Here is a 16,053-nt window from a genome sequence, read left to right on the forward strand (position 1 = left end):
TTTAACTGTTTACTTTTTTTTTTTTTTTTGAGATGGTGTCTCACTCTTGTCCAGGCTAGAGTGCAGTGGTGGGATCTCAGCTCACTGCAACCCCCGCCTCCTGAGTTCAAGCGATTCTCATGCCTCAGCCTCTCAAGTAGCTTGGATTACAGGCAAGTTGCACCACGCCCGGCTACTTTTTGTATTTTTAGTAGAGACAGGGCTTTACCATGTTGGCCAGGTTGGTCTTGAACTCCTGACCTCAGGTGATCCGCCTGCCTCAGCCTCCCAAAGGGCTGGGATTACAGGCATGAGCCATCCCACCTGGCCAAACTGTTTAACTTTAAAAGTTGTTCAGCCTGGCGCGGTGGCTCACGCCTGTAATCCCAGCACTTTGGGAGGCCGAGGCGGGCGGATCACCTGAGGTCGGCAGTTTGAGATCAGCCTGACCAACATGAGGAAATCTCGTCTTTACTAAAAATACAAAAAATTAGTTGGGCGTGGTGGCGCATGCCTGTAGTTCCAGCTACTTGGGAGGCTGAGGCGGGAGAATCGCTTGAACCTGGGAGGCAGAGGTTGCAGTGAGCCAAGATCATGCCATAGCACTCCAGACTGAGCAACAAGAGTGAAACTCCGTCTCAGAAAAAAAAAAAAAAGTTGTTCAAGTACTTCATTTGTCTCCTCCCACTTATAATTGAGTGGTTTTTTTTAAGAAATAAGTGTTTATTTTTGCAGTTGTCATGCCTTTTGTACTGTAATCATTTATATATGACTTATCTGTCAGACAGTGAGTTCTTTTTTCTCCTCACGTTGCTGGCACATCAGAAGTTCTTGATCTGTTAATGAAATTTATTTATTTATTTATTTCTAAGACAGGGGCTTGCTGTACTGCCAGGGTGGAGTGCAGTGGCGTGATAATGGCTCACTGTATTCTTGACCTTTGAGGATGAAGTGATCCTCCCTTCTCAGCCTCCCAAATAGATGGGACTACAGGCACATGCCACCATCCTCAGCCAGTATTTTTATTTTTAGTAGAGATAGGGTCTTGCTATGTTTCCCAGGCTGGTCTCGAACTCCTGGGCTCAAGCAGTCCTCCCACTTCTGCCTCCCAAAGTATTGGGATTACAGGTGTGAGCCCCTACACCTGGCCAGTTCAATGTATTGACTCATGGGAGAGTGATTTAATTCTCAAATTGACTTTAAGAACCTCTGTATAGGTACACACATGTGTATATTAACCAGTTCCAGTTCCTGTAGGTGATTTTTATTGAAGGATTTAATTCAGTAGGTGGGAAATAAGGAGTTCATTTTTTTTTTCAGTTTGTTTTTAAAATGAACCAGACAACACAAAATTTAACTAAGTTTTAGTTTCATTATTAAGCTATGTTTTTTAATAGAAAAACTACCATGTGTACACTTTTGAAACCAGCATTTACAGAGAAGTTACCGTTGACAGTTCAGTTTATAAATCCCTTCTCTCCTTTGTCTTTCTTTTTTCATTTTTCATTTTGCATTCTGAGGGAAGTAGGCATTCCATAATTCTTCCAAAGGTTATTTGGATTCTTTTCTGTGTTTTGAAATAAGACATGGTTGTTACAAGGGAACTAGATGTGAGTTAAAATGAATTTTCGTATAAAATGATTTTTATTTCCTTTTATTAAAAGTGACAAATTGTTAAACATGTGTTGTCCTGACTTTCTTTTGTGACACTTTTTAGTGTAATAAAAGTTGCTAATAAAATTGTAAATGTGTGGAAGATAACATATACTAGATGAATTATAATCTTTTCTAGATGGGATTTGTATTTTCATATTTTTAATTGTATGTATAGAACTTTAGATAACCAAGAAATTATAGGCTAAACTGGATTTATTTTTGGTTTTATTACTGGTAGGCTTTCCTTTTTCTTTTAAAATTTCCCTAATTTGAAATATTGCATTTCACTTTCTTTGCAAAACCAGTGTTTGACCATGCGCTTGTTCTCTCTGAAGTTATTGAACTTACTATATCTAAAATACCAAAACCATACATTATTTTGGGGGTGTGGTTGTGGGGAGGAATCCATGCAAAGCACCTTGTGTGGTGCTCGTCTATGAGTAGCTACACTATAAATGTTAACAGATCATACATGTTGCTTTGCTGAAACATTTCTTCTTCTTTATATTAGCCTAGTGTTTTTCACGTTTTCTTGGGTTTTTTTTTGTATATATATTTTTGTTGCTGTGGGCTTACTATATACATCTTCTGTATTTTTGGAACAATGAAATTATAGACTGATAGTGAAGGAAACTTACCTGTCTACTATCTTAATTTCTTCTTTGTAGTTAATCTACATTTAGCTGGTTTTGAAGCTATACCACGTCATCAGACTAGACTACTGATTCTTTCATAACCTCCTGTGTATTTTCTTGCCACACATATATAATACTTAAAATTTTCCTTGTGTATGATCTATTCTAGGTTGTCTAGTTCAGTGGGCATGTTAGTTGTTTCCAGACAGTCTTCTTTGGCGGCAATGATGTGGCTGTTCTCTTAATGATGAGAAGTAATTTCTTTGATCTAATGATTCTGGTTCTCTTACCCTTACCTAGTTTCCAACCGGAGGCCCTATCGGCAGTACTACGTGGAGGCTTTTGGAGATCCTTCTGAGAGAGCCTGGGTGGCTGGAAAAGCAATCGTCATGTTTGAAGGCAGACATCAATTCGAAGAGCTACCTGTCCTTAGGAGAAGAGGGAAACAGAAAGAAAAAGGATATAGGCATAAGGTAGGAAACGAAAAAGGCTTTTTATTGAGTGACAGAAGCAAGTAAGAAAAAGAAAGAAAATGGCCTCTTATTTATTTTCGAGACAGAACTTTGCTCTGTTTCCCAGATTGGAGTACAGTGGTGCAATCTTTGTTCACTGCAACCTCCGCGTCCCAGGTTCAAGTGATTCTCGTGCTTCAGCCTCTTGAGTAGCTGGTATTATAAGCGAGCACCACCACGCCTGGCTAACTTTTGTATTTAGTAGAGACAGGATTTCGCCATGTTGGCCAGGTTGGTCTTGAACTCCTGAGCTCAAGCAGCTTCCCAAAATGCTGGGATTACAGGTGTGAGCCACTGTGCCTGGCCCGGCCTTTTAAAAATCATTATCTACTTGGGAGTTAGCAGAGAGGAGGCAGGGAAGAAGCATTATATTTTTGAAATGTAAGTTATTTCCTTTGGTAGTAGAATATCTGTGAGAAAAGAGCTAGGGAGCAGATGCAGGTGGGTTTTTTTTGTTTGTTTGTTTGTTTGTTTTTCCTCCCCAGTGGGCTGGGGCTAGCTTGTGACATATTTATACTAAATTTTTTGATAAATTATTTTAGTCAACTTTACTGTGTCACTCAGTAGTGAAAATTATGACATAGCGTGACCATTCTTTTGTTATCTTTTATGCATGATGAAAGTATCATTAAAATGAAATATTCTGCTTCTTGCCACTTGGACTAATTATTTCTGTTAATGAGAATAATGTGGTTTTTTTGTTTGTTTGTTTCTTTGTTTTTGGAGACAGAGTCTCACTCTGTCACCCAGGCTGAAGTGCAGTGGCACACTCTTGGCTCACTGCAACTTCCGCCTCCCAGGTTTGAGCCATTCTTGTGCCTTAGCCTCCCAAGTAGCTGGGATTATAGGTGCCCGCCACCACACCTGGCTAATTTTTGTATTTTTAGTAGAGACAGGTTTTGCCATATTGGCCAGGCTGGTCTTGAACTCCTGATGTCAGGTGATCAACTCGCCTCAGCCTCCCAAAGTGCTGGGATTACAGGCGTGAGCCACTGCGCCCACTGAGAACCATAAAGTTTTTAATAATTTTCTTTTTTATGTTTGTCAGTGCTTAAGTCTAAAGTTTCTACTCTAGTTATATTTCAACCATCAGTATTGTGGCTTTTTTTCTTTTGCTTGATGTTTTATGTTAAATTTGGCTGAGAAAAATACCAGCTTATTTTAATACTCTTTTTTCCTCCAGTTTTTTTTATTGTGTTAAAATATATATAATATAAAAATTACTATCTTAAACACTTTTAAGTGTACAGTTAATGGTTTTAAATACATTTATAATGGTGTGCAAACATCTCATAATTATTTTCATCTTGCAAATCTGATACTCTTTTACCTGTTAAACAGTAATTCCCCATTTGTCCTTCTCCCATCACTGTCACCACCATTCTACTGTTTGTCTCTATGATTTAATATTCTCTTATATTCAATTCTAGAAGGAGAAATAATAATTCTTAGTTTGGTGTTTTATACTCCCCTGGGTCTAAATACTTTTATTTATTATTATTATTCTTTGATACGGGGGTCTCTCTATGTTGTTCATGCTAGAGTGCTGTTGCACAGTCATCTTTTACTGCAGCTATGACCTCCCAGGCTCGAGCCATTCTCCTGACTCAGTCTCCCGAGTAGCTGGGACTACAGATATGTATGACTACAGTGGCTAATTTTTATTTATTATTATTATTATTTTTTTAAACAGAGTCTTGCTCTGTCACCCAGGCCGGAGTACAATGGTACAATCTTGGCTCACTGCAACCTCTGCCTCCTGGGTTCAGGCGATTCTCATGCCTTAGCCTCCCAAATAGTTGGGATTACAAGTGTATGCCACCACACCTGGCTAATTTTTGTATTTTTAGTAGAGACAGGGTTTCACCATGTTGGCCAGGCTGGTCTCAAACTCCTGTCCTCAAGTGATCCATCTGCCTTGGTTTCCCAAAGTGCTGGGATTACAGGCATGAGCCACTGTGCCCAGCCCCAATTTTTATTTTTATTTTTTTGTAGAACGACAAGGTCTTGCCATGTTGCCCAGGCTGGTCTTGAACTCCTGGACTTAATCTTCTCATGTCGGTTTCCCAAAGTGATGGGATTACAGGCATGAGATACCATGCTGGCAATACTTGTAGACTATTTTTAAAAATCATAATTAGGATAATTTAGAGTTCATATGCAGGGTCTGCCACTTAACACTTGAGTTCTCAAAGACTTGGTGTCTTCATCTCTAAAGCTAGTACAATAACTTACACCCTATAGAACTGTTGTAAACATTAGAAATAAGTATAAAATACTTAATATGACATACAATTGATGCTTTAGAAACAATTAGTATGTGTTGTTAGGATGAAAGAGGTTAACGGCTTCCTTTCAGATATTTCAGCTGGTTGCTGATAGGGATGTGTCGGTTATTTTGTTAAGTCTTTAGGTACGTAGAGTTACCAATCTTTTTAGAGGTGTTTATTGGGGCTTTCAGATTCTGGAAAATTGATTTACTCTGGTCACAGTCATGAGCATTAGTGGATATGTGTTTCTGTGCTTAAAAAAAAAAAAATACACACTACCAGATTGTCCGTTTGATCCTTTCTTTAAGAGGAGGCTACTCCTCTAGTTACCCTAATTTTTTTTTTTTCTTTTTGAGATGGAGTCTCACTCTGTCGCCCCAGCTGGAATGCAGTGGCATGATCTCGGCTCACCGCAACCTCTGCCTCCTGGGTTCAAGCAATTCTCCTGCTTCAGCCTCCCAAGTAGCTGAGATTACAGGCTTGCGCCACCACGCCCTGCTAATTTTTGTATTTTTAGTAGAGACAGGGTTTCACTATGTTGGCCAGGCTGGTCTCGACCTCCTAACCTAAGGTGACCCCCCGCCATCCCCCCGACCTTGGCCTCTCAAAATGCTAGGATTACAGGCGTGAGCCACTGTGCCCGGCCTCGTTACCGTAATTATTTATTTTTTAATTTATTTATTTTTATTTATTTATTTTGAGACAGAGTCTCGCTCTGTTGTGCAGGCTGGAGTGCAGTGGTGCGATGTCAGCTCACTACAACCTCCGCCTCCCGGGTTCACGCCATTCTCCTGCCTCAGCCTCCCGAGTAGCTGGGACTACAGGTGTCCGCCACCAGGCCTGGCTAATTTTTTATATTTTTAGTATAGACGGGGTTTCACCATGTTAGCCAGGATGGTCTCGATCTCCTGACCTTGTGATCTGCCCACCTCAGCCTCCCAAAGCACTGGGATTGCAGGCGTGAGCCACCGTGCCTGGCCTATTTATTTAAATTTTTTTTTTTTTTTTTTTTTTTTTTTTTAGAGAAGGGGTGGGTCTCCCTGTGTTTCCCAGGCTGGGCTAAAGGCATCCTCCTGCCTCAGCCTCGCAAAGTGCTGGGATTAAAGGTGTGAGCCACTCCACGCAGCCTTTTATTCATTTATTTTATTTTTTAAAATTTGAGACAGGATCGTGCTCTGTCATCCAGGCTGGAGTGCAGTGGCACGGTTTCGGCACACTGCAACTTTCACCTCCTGGGCACAAATGATCCTCCTACCTCAGCCTACTGAGTAGCTGGGACCATATGCATGCAGCATGTCCAGCTAGTGTGTGTGTGTGTGTGCGTGTGTGTGTGTGTGTTTTTAGTAGAGACAGGGTCTGGTTGTGTTACCCAGGTTGGTCTTGAACTCCAGAGCTCATGTAATCCACCTGCCTCAGCCTCTCAAAGTCCTGGGAGTACAGCCATGAGCCACCATCCCCAGCAATGATCTGAATGTTTACTTGCTCTGCAGAACATCCCCTTCACAAATATTAAACTATTTGTGAACACTATGTGGTAGTTAGAATCTTGACTAATACCTATTGTATGGAGGTAAGGAAGAAAATAAGAGTCTGAAAAATTAGCTGTATTTCAGAGTCTCAATGTTTTCATGCTGTGAGGTATCCAGAAAAGATAATGTAATACCCATGGTGTCATCAGTATAATAGCTCTGGATTACATGATGAAGCCTAGGAGATGGCTTGGTTATAATCCAGGTTATATTTAACATTTATAGTCGATTCTTGATTAGCCAGGTGGCTAGTGATAACTAGAATTTCAAATTTCAAGTTCCCTAGGGAGGTAGATCAAACCTGCTGATTCCTCTTATCCTGTTTTTTCTATATTCATCATCTTTAACCTTTTTTTCTTTTTCTTTTTTTTTTCTTGGTTTTTCTTTTTCTTTTTTTCTTTTCTTTTTTCTTTTTGAGAAAGAGTCTTGCTCTGTCACCCAGGCTGGAGTACAGTGGCGTGATCTCAGCTCACTGGAGCCTCCACTTACTGGGTACAAATGATTCTCGTGTCTTAGCCTCCCTACTTTCTTTTTTATGCAACTGAACATGTGTTTGGCCTTCATATTCCTTAATTAATTAATTAATTAATTAATTTTTTGAGATGGAGTCTTGCTCTGTCCCCCATGCTGGAGTGCAATGGCGTGATCTCCAACTCCCGGGTGCTAGTGATTCTCCTGCCTCAGCCTCCACAGTAGCTGGGAGTATAGGTGTCTGCCACCACACCTGGCTAATTTTTTTATTTTTAGTAGAGATGGGGTTTGGCGATGTTGGCCAGGGTTGTCTTGAACTCCTGACCTGAGGTGATTCGTCCTCCTCAGCCTCTGAAAGTGCTGGGATTACAGGCGTGAGCCACACACCCGGCCAAGTATTCTTTAATTTAGAAATGTAATGTTACCAGTTTTAGTCTATATTCTGCTTTGTGCTTATAAATGCAGGGAGGGTGGAGTGTTTGTGAGATCAGTCCTTACTCTAATGACATAATCTTATTAGCAGAAGTATTTTTGAGGAAGCTCCATTAGGGTGATTCAGATGCTGCTTGAGCTCAGGTGCTAACTACCTGGCTGGTTCCATAAAAGCAGGAGGCCTGACAGGTTTGTAAAAGCTTCTGATTTCAGGCCGGGTGCGGTGGCTCATAGCTGTAATCCCAGCACTTTGGGAGGCTGAGGTGAGCGGATCACTTCAGGTCAGGAGTTTGAGACCAGCCTGGCCAATATGGTGAAACCCCTATTCTACTGAAAATACAAAAAATTAGCTGGGTGTGGTGGCGGGTGCCTGTAATCCCAGCTACTCGGGAGGCTGAGGAAGGAGAATCACTTGAACCCGGGAGGCAGAGGTTGTGGTGAGCGAAGATTGTGCCACTGCACTCCAGCCTGGGCGACAGAGCAAGACTCTGTCTCAAAAAAAAAAAAAAAAGGAATAAAAAAAAAAGCTTCTGATTTCATCTCCCTTTTCCCCCACCCATTTCTTTGATAAGTGATAATTCTTTTTCTCCTTTAAATTTAAGGTTCCTCAGAAAATTTTGAGTAAATGGGAAGCCAGTGTTGGACTTGCAGAACAGTATGATGTTCCCAAGGGGTCAAAGAACCGAAAATGTATTCCTGGTTCAATCAAGTTGGACAGTGAAGAAGATATGCCATTTGAAGACTGCACAAATGATCCTGAGTCAGAACATGACCTGTTGCTTAATGGCTGTTTGAAATCACTGGCTTTTGATTCTGAACATTCTGCAGATGAGAAGGAAAAGCCTTGCGCTAAATCTCGAGCCAGAAAGAGCTCTGATAATCCAAAAAGGACTAGTGTGAAAAAGGGCCACATACAATTTGAAGCACATAAAGATGAACGGAGGGGAAAGATTCCAGAGAACCTTGGCCTAAACTTTATCTCTGGGGATATATCTGATACGCAGGCCTCTAATGAACTTTCCAGGATAGCAAATAGCCTCACAGGGTCCAACACTGCCCCAGGAAGTTTTCTGTTTTCTTCCTGTGGAAAAAACACTGCAAAGAAAGAATTTGAGACTTCAAATGGTGACTCTTTATTGGGCTTGCCTGAGGGTGCTTTGATCTCAAAGTGTTCTCGAGAGAAGAATAAACCCCAACGAAGCCTGGTGTGTGGTTCAAAAGTGAAGCTCTGCTATATTGGAGCAGGTGATGAGGAAAAGCGAAGTGATTCCATTAGTATCTGTACCACTTCTGATGATGGAAGCAGTGACCTGGATCCCATAGAACACAGCTCAGAGTCTGATAACAGTGTCCTTGAAATTCCAGATGCTTTCGATAGAACAGAGAACATGTTATCTATGCAGAAAAATGAAAAGATAAAGTATTCTAGGTTTGCTGCCACAAACACTAGGGTAAAAGCAAAACAGAAGCCTCTCATTAGTAACTCACATACAGACCACTTAATGGGTTGTACTAAGAGTGCAGAGCCTGGAACCGAGACGTCTCAGGTTAATCTCTCTGATCTGAAGGCATCTACTCTTGTTCACAAACCCCAGTCAGATTTTACAAATGATGCTCTCTCTCCAAAATTCAACCTGTCATCAAGCATATCCAGTGAGAACTCGTTAATAAAGGGTGGGGCAGCAAATCAAGCTCTATTACATTCGAAAAGCAAACAGCCCAAGTTCCGAAGTATAAAGTGCAAACACAAAGAAAATCCAGTTATGGCAGAACCCCCAGTTATAAATGAGGAGTGCAGTTTGAAATGCTGCTCTTCTGATACCAAAGGCTCTCCTTTGGCCAGCATTTCTAAAAGTGGGAAAGTGGATGGTCTAAAACTACTGAACAATATGCATGAGAAAACCAGGGATTCAAGTGACATAGAAACAGCAGTGGTGAAACATGTTTTATCCGAGTTGAAGGAACTCTCTTACAGATCCTTAGGTGAGGATGTCAGTGACTCTGGAACATCAAAGCCATCAAAACCATTACTTTTCTCTTCTGCTTCTAGTCAGAATCACATACCTATTGAACCAGACTACAAATTCAGTACATTGCTAATGATGTTGAAAGATATGCATGATAGTAAGACGAAGGAGCAGCGGTTGATGACTGCTCAAAACCTGGTCTCTTACCGGAGTCCTGGTCGTGGGGACTGTTCTACTAATAGTCCTGTAGGAGTCTCTAAGGTTTTGGTTTCAGGAGGCTCCACACACAATTCAGAGAAAAAGGGAGATGGCACTCAGAACTCCGCCAATCCTAGCCCTAGTGGGGGTGACTCTGCATTATCTGGCGAGTTGTCTGCTTCCCTACCTGGCTTACTGTCCGACAAGAGAGACCTCCCTGCTTCTGGTAAAAGTCGTTCAGACTGTGTTACTAGGCGCAACTGTGGACGATCAAAGCCTTCATCCAAATTGCGAGATGCTTTTTCAGCCCAAATGGTAAAGAACACAGTGAACCGTAAAGCCTTAAAGACCGAGCGCAAAAGAAAACTGAATCAGCTTCCAAGTGTGACTCTTGATGCTGTACTGCAGGGAGACCGAGAACGTGGAGGTTCATTGAGAGGTGGGGCAGAAGATCCTAGTAAAGAGGATCCCCTTCAGATAATGGGCCACTTAACAAGTGAAGATGGTGACCATTTTTCTGATGTGCATTTCGATAGCAAGGTTAAGCAATCTGATCCTGGTAAAATTTCTGAAAAAGGACTCTCTTTTGAAAACGGAAAAGGCCCAGAGCTGGACTCTGTAATGAACAGTGAGAATGATGAACTCAATGGTGTAAATCAAGTGGTGCCTAAAAAGCGGTGGCAGCGTTTAAACCAAAGGCGCACTAAACCTCGTAAGCGCATGAACAGATTTAAAGAGAAAGAAAACTCTGAGTGTGCCTTTAGGGTCTTACTTCCTAGTGACCCTGTGCAGGAGGGGCGGGATGAGTTTCCAGAGCATAGAACTCCTTCAGCAAGCATACTTGAGGAACCACTGACAGAGCAAAATCATGCTGACTGCTTAGATTCAGCTGGGCCACGGTTAAATGTTTGTGATAAATCCAGTGCCAGCATTGGTGACATGGAAAAGGAGCCAGGAATTCCCAGTTTGACACCACAGGCTGAGCTCCCTGAACCAGGTAAGGACATCTAAATGTGATAAAAAAAAAAAAATTGGAGAAAGTGCTGATAAACATTGTCCTTCTGAAATTGGTCTGTTGTAATGGTAAAGTGAAGTATAAACTAGCGGGGAAGAATCATCACTTCAATGAAGAAGGAGTTTTATGTAGAAAGGTCTGAATTTTGAAGATGAGATTTCCATATATATTCAAAAGTTAAACTTTACCAGAAGCCCTTTTCCCCAACCTTTTCAAGTAAATCTCTATAACATCTTTCTTTCTCACTTTCTCTCTCTCTCTTTCTCTCTCTCTCTTTTTTTTTTTTTTCTAATTTTTTTTTTCTTTTGAGACAGGGTCTCACTGTGTTGCCCAGGCTGGTCTCAAACTCCTGAGTTCACGCCATCTGCCAGCCTTTGCCTCCTAAAGTGCTGGGATTACTCTTGCCTGACCTGTTCCCCGTTTCTTACCTTTTAAAATCCCCAAGCTTTTTGGGACTCAATATGTAACTGCAAGTAATTGAGAGGCTCCGATCCTAGGATTTAAATCCAGTTGTTAGGTTATAGAAAGCAAATAGATTCTATTGGATGGTAGTTTCTTTTTTTTTTCTTAAGGCACCCGCCACCATACCTGGTAATTTTTGTATTTTTAGTAGAGATGAGGGTTCACCACGTTGGCCAGGCTGGTCTTGAACTGAACTCAAGTGATCCGCCCACCAAAAGTGCTGGGATACAGGCGTGAGCCACTGCATCTGGCTGGATGTTAGGTTTTCTTTGACCATTACTTAAGATAGGTCCTTCTGTTTTGTGGACAATTTGATGAACCACATGCGCTTTTGAAAAAACTGCAAGTATTCTGTAGTACTTATTTGAAGGTCTTAGGTGTCTTAAATTCCTACTGGAATGAGGATTATGAACAAATAAAAATACCAGAAGTACCCAAGTGTTGTACCTAGCAGCAGATGGAAAACAGAAATCTTTCAAGATACTAACATTACACAGTATACAGTTGAGGATAAAGCAGTGTGTGTATACATGTATATACATATTTTTTTCTTTTTTACAGCAATATCCATTAACATAAGATTCTCAAAACTGTGTATCATAGTAGATTTTTCTCTAACAGCTTTATTGAAAATGCAGTTATCATATCATAAAATTCAGCTTTTAACGTTTTTAATTGAGTGGTTTGTAGTATAGTCACAGAGTTGTGCAACAATCAGTGCGATCAATTGTGGAATATTTGCATCATCCCAGACAGAAACACAGAACTCTTGTCAATCTGCCTTCAGGTTTTTTTTTCTTTTTTTTTCTTGAGACGGAGTCTCGCTCTGTTACCCAGGCTGGAGTGCCGTGGCGTGATCTCGGCTCACTGCAGGCTCCGCCTCCCGGGTTCACGCCATTCTCCTGCCTCAGCCTCCTGAGTAGCTGGGACTACAGGCGCCCGCCACCACACCCAGCTAATTTTTTTTTGTATTTTTAGTAGAGACGGGGTTTCACTGTGTTAGCCAGGATGGTCTCTGATCTCCTGACCTTGTGATCCGCCCGCCTCCACCTCCCAAAGTGCTGGGATTACAGGCGTGAGCCACTGTGCCCAGCCCTGCCTTCAGTTTTTACCAATCTGTAGATTTGTCTATTGTGTACATTTCATAGAAATGGAATCATACAATATATGGTCCTTTTGGGTCTGGTTTCCCTTACTTAGTTTAATGTTTTCTGGTTCATGCCTCTTGTAGTATGTATCAGTTCTTCTGTCTTCTTCTAAAATTATGGTTAAAAAGCATGTAACCTAAATGTACCTTTTTTGGTTTTTTTTTTGAGATAGGGTCTGGCTCTGTTGCCCAGGCTAGAGTGAGATTTACTCTTTAACGGTATTTACGGCCAGGTGCGGTGGCTCACGCCTGTAATTCCAGCACTCTGGGAGGCCAAGGCTGATGGATCACCTGAGGTCAGGAGTTCAAGACCAGCCTGGCCAACATGGCAAAACCCCATCTCTACTAAAAATACAAAAATTAGCTGGGCATGGTGGCGCGCTCCTGTAATACCAGCCACTCGGGAGGCTGAGGTAGGAGAATCACTTGAACCCGGGAGGTGGAGGTTGCAGTGAGTGGAGGTTGCAGTGAGCTGAGATTGCGCCACTGCACTCCAGCCTGGGAGACAGAGCGAAACCCCATTTCAAAATAAACAAACAAAAAAACAGTATTTAAGTGTGTATTATAGTGTCATGAATCATGTACATGTACAACAGCAGATCTCCAGGACATTTTCGTTTTGCTTGACTGAGACTCTATACCCATTGAACAACAACTCCTGATTTTCTCCTTTGTTCAATCCATGACAACTAACATTCTTTCTGCTTCTGTGAATTTGATTACTTTAGACATCTCATGTAAGTGGAATCATGCAGTATTTGTTGTTTTGTGATTGGGTTATTTCACATTTCACTTAGCATAATGTTTTCAAGGTTCATCCATGTTGTAGCATATGACAGGATCACCTTTTTTTTTTTTTTTTTGAGACAGAGTCTTACTGTGTCACCCAGGCTGGAGTGCAGTGGCGTGATCTCAGCTCACTGCATCCTCTGCCTCGTGGGTTCTCGGCTCACTGCAGCCTCTGCCTCGTGGGTTCAAGCAATTCTCCTGCCTCAGCCTCCTAAGTAGCTTGGACTACAGGCACATGCCACCATGCCTGGCTAATTTGTTTTGTATTTTTAGTAGAGACAGGGTGTCACCATGTTCCCCAGAATGGTCTCGATCTCCTGACCTCGTGATCCACCCGCCTTGGCCTCCCAAAGTGCTGGGATTAAAAGCATGAGCCACCACGCCCTGCCGATAACCTTTTTTTATGGCTGAATAATATTCCAACATACTTTTTCTTTTCCATACTAAAGCATCTTTTCTTTATCAGTTCATTGGTTGATGGACATTTAGATTGCTTCCACATCTTGACTATTGTGAGTAATGCTACAGTGAACATGGATATGCAGATATCTCTGAGATCTGGTTTTCAATTTTTTTTTTTTTTTTGAGATGGAGTTTCGCTCTTGTTGCCCAGGCCGGAGTGCAATGGCACAATCTCAGTTCACTGTAACCTCTGCCTCCTGGGCTCAAGCAATTCTGCCTCAGCCTTTCAAGTAGCTGGGATTACAGGCATATACCACCACGCCTAGCTAACTTTGTATTTTTAGTAGAGATGGGGTTTCACCATGTTGGCCAGGCTGGTGTCGAACTCCTGACCTCAGGTGGTCTGCCTGCTTCGGCCTCCCAAAGTGCTGGGATTACAGGCATGAGCAACTGCACCCAGTGATGTTCATTTCTTTTGGATAAATACCTAGAATGGCATTGGTGGAACATAGGGTAATTCTACTTTTATTTTTATTTTTTTTTGAGACAAGGGTCTCCCTCTGTCACCCAGGCTGGAGTATAATGATGCGATCTCAAGTCACTGCAACCTCTGCCTCCTGGGCTCAAGCAATTCTTGTGCCCCAGCCTCCCAAGTAGCTGGGATTACAGTGGTTTTGCCATGTTAGCCAGGCTGGTCTCAAATTCCTGACCTTAAGTGATCCTCCTGCTTCGGCCTCCCAAAGTGTTGGGATTATAGGTGTGAGCCACCGCACCCGGCCTACTTTTAATTTGATGAACCTCTATAGTGTTTTGCATAATTGCTGCATCATTTTATAAGTCCTTTGTCCATATACATATGTTTTTAATGATACTGGGCCTCTTTGTCACCTAGGGTGGAATACAGTGGTGCAGTTATAGCTCACTGCAGCCTCAAACTCCTGGGCTCAAGTGATCCTCCTATCTCAGCATCCTGAGTAGCTGGGAGTACAGGTGCATGCCACCACACTTGGCTAATTTTTGTGTTTTTTTGTAGAGACAGGTTTCTGGCTATGCTGCCCAGGCTGGTCTTCAACTACTGGGCTCAAATGATGTTCCCACTTTGGCCTCCCAAAATGCTGGGATTCCAGACATGAGCTACTGTGCATATCCCTTTGCATATTTTTAAATCTTGTTATTTTTAAAAAATGAGGTATAAGAGTTATTCATATATCCTGGATATTAACCAATTATCTGATGTATGATTTGCAAGTATTTTCTCCCATTTTGTACCTGCCTTTTCACTCTGTTGACTGTTTTCTTTGCTGTGTAGAAGTTAATGTGATTTTTTTTTTCCATTTTTGCTTTTTAAAAAATTTTTACTTGTGCTTTGGGTCTCATAGCCAGGAAATTCTTGTTCCTTCCAATATCATGAAGTTTTTTCGTCTGTTTTCTTCTAGGAGTTTCATAGTTGGAGGTCTTATGTTTAGGTCTTTGATCTATTTTATGATAATTTTTATGTAAGGTGTAAAATGAGAGTTCATCTTCGTTCTTCAGCATGTGCATATCCAGTTTTCACAATACCATCTGTTAAAGAGACTATCTTTTCCCCATTGTGTAGTCTTGGCACTGTTGTCGAAGGTCATTTGACCATGTATGTGATTTATTTCAGGGATCTCTGTTTTTTTTTTTTTTTTTTTAATTTTTAGTAAAATTGAGACGGGGTCCAACCATGTTGCCCAGGCTGTTCTTGAATTCCTGGGCTCAAGTGATCCTCCTGCCTCAGACTCCCAAAAAGCGGGGATTACAGGTGTGAGCCACCACCCTGGCCAGGGATCTCTGTGGATCTCTATTCTGTTCCATTGACTTACATGTCTATATTTTTATGCCAGTACAATATTGTTTTGATTACCATAGCCTCATGATATGTTTTGAAATCAAGAAATGTAAGGCCTTCAGTTTTTTTTTTTTTTCTTCTCAAGATTGTTTTGTTTATTTGGGGGTTCTTTGAAATTACACACTAATTTAGGATAGTTTTTTTATTTCTGCAAAAAAAAATGGCTTTTGAGATGTTGATAGGGATGGCATTGACTTTAGTTTCCTTTGGGTAGTAGGGATATCTTAACAATATTAAGTTTTCCAATCCATGAAAACAGGCTATCTTTCCATTTATTTATATCTTCCGTAATTTCATCCAACAGTGTTTTGGAGTGTACAACCATTTCTCCTCCTTGGTTAAGTTTATTCTTAAGTATTCTATTCTTTTTTATGCTATTGCAAATGTGATTGTTTTAATTTCCTTTTATATTGTTCATTATGAGTATATAGAAATGTTCAGGTTTAATTTTGTATCTTGGAACTTTGCCGAATTTGCTTCTTTGTTCTAATAGCGTGTGGAATCTTTAGGGTTTCCTACATAAAGGTTCATGTCATCTGCAAAGAGATAATTTGGCTCCTTGCTTCCCTATTTATTGCCTAATTACTCTGCTAGGACTTCAAATAATGTGTTGAATAGGTTGCTACAGTGGTATATTTCCCTTGCTCTTTATCTTAGAGGAAAAGCTTTCAGTGTTTCACTGTCAAGCATATTAGCTGTGGTCTTTTTATATATAG

The 16,053-nt window shown here is 41.2% G+C and overlaps 1 protein-coding gene across 12 annotated transcripts in view; it reads left to right on the plus strand.

The window, feature by feature from the left end:
* Nucleotides 1-16,053, plus strand: part of NSD1 (nuclear receptor binding SET domain protein 1) — a 168,416-nt gene that overhangs the window by 69,752 nt on the left and 82,611 nt on the right. For 11 of the 12 annotated variants that reach the window (NM_001409301.1, NM_001409304.1, NM_001409306.1 and 8 more), the window contains 2 exons: nt 2,571-2,743; nt 8,087-10,646. In NM_001409301.1, coding sequence (NP_001396230.1) covers nt 2,571-2,743; nt 8,087-10,646 — 2,733 coding nt within the window. Of the gene's footprint in view, nt 1-32; nt 153-2,570; nt 2,744-8,086; nt 10,647-16,053 lie in introns of all 12 variants that reach the window. The other variant, NM_001409305.1, reaches the window with a different exon arrangement.

This window comes from Homo sapiens, chromosome 5, assembly GCF_000001405.40.
Source record: "Homo sapiens chromosome 5, GRCh38.p14 Primary Assembly".
NCBI lineage: Eukaryota > Metazoa > Chordata > Mammalia > Primates > Hominidae > Homo > Homo sapiens.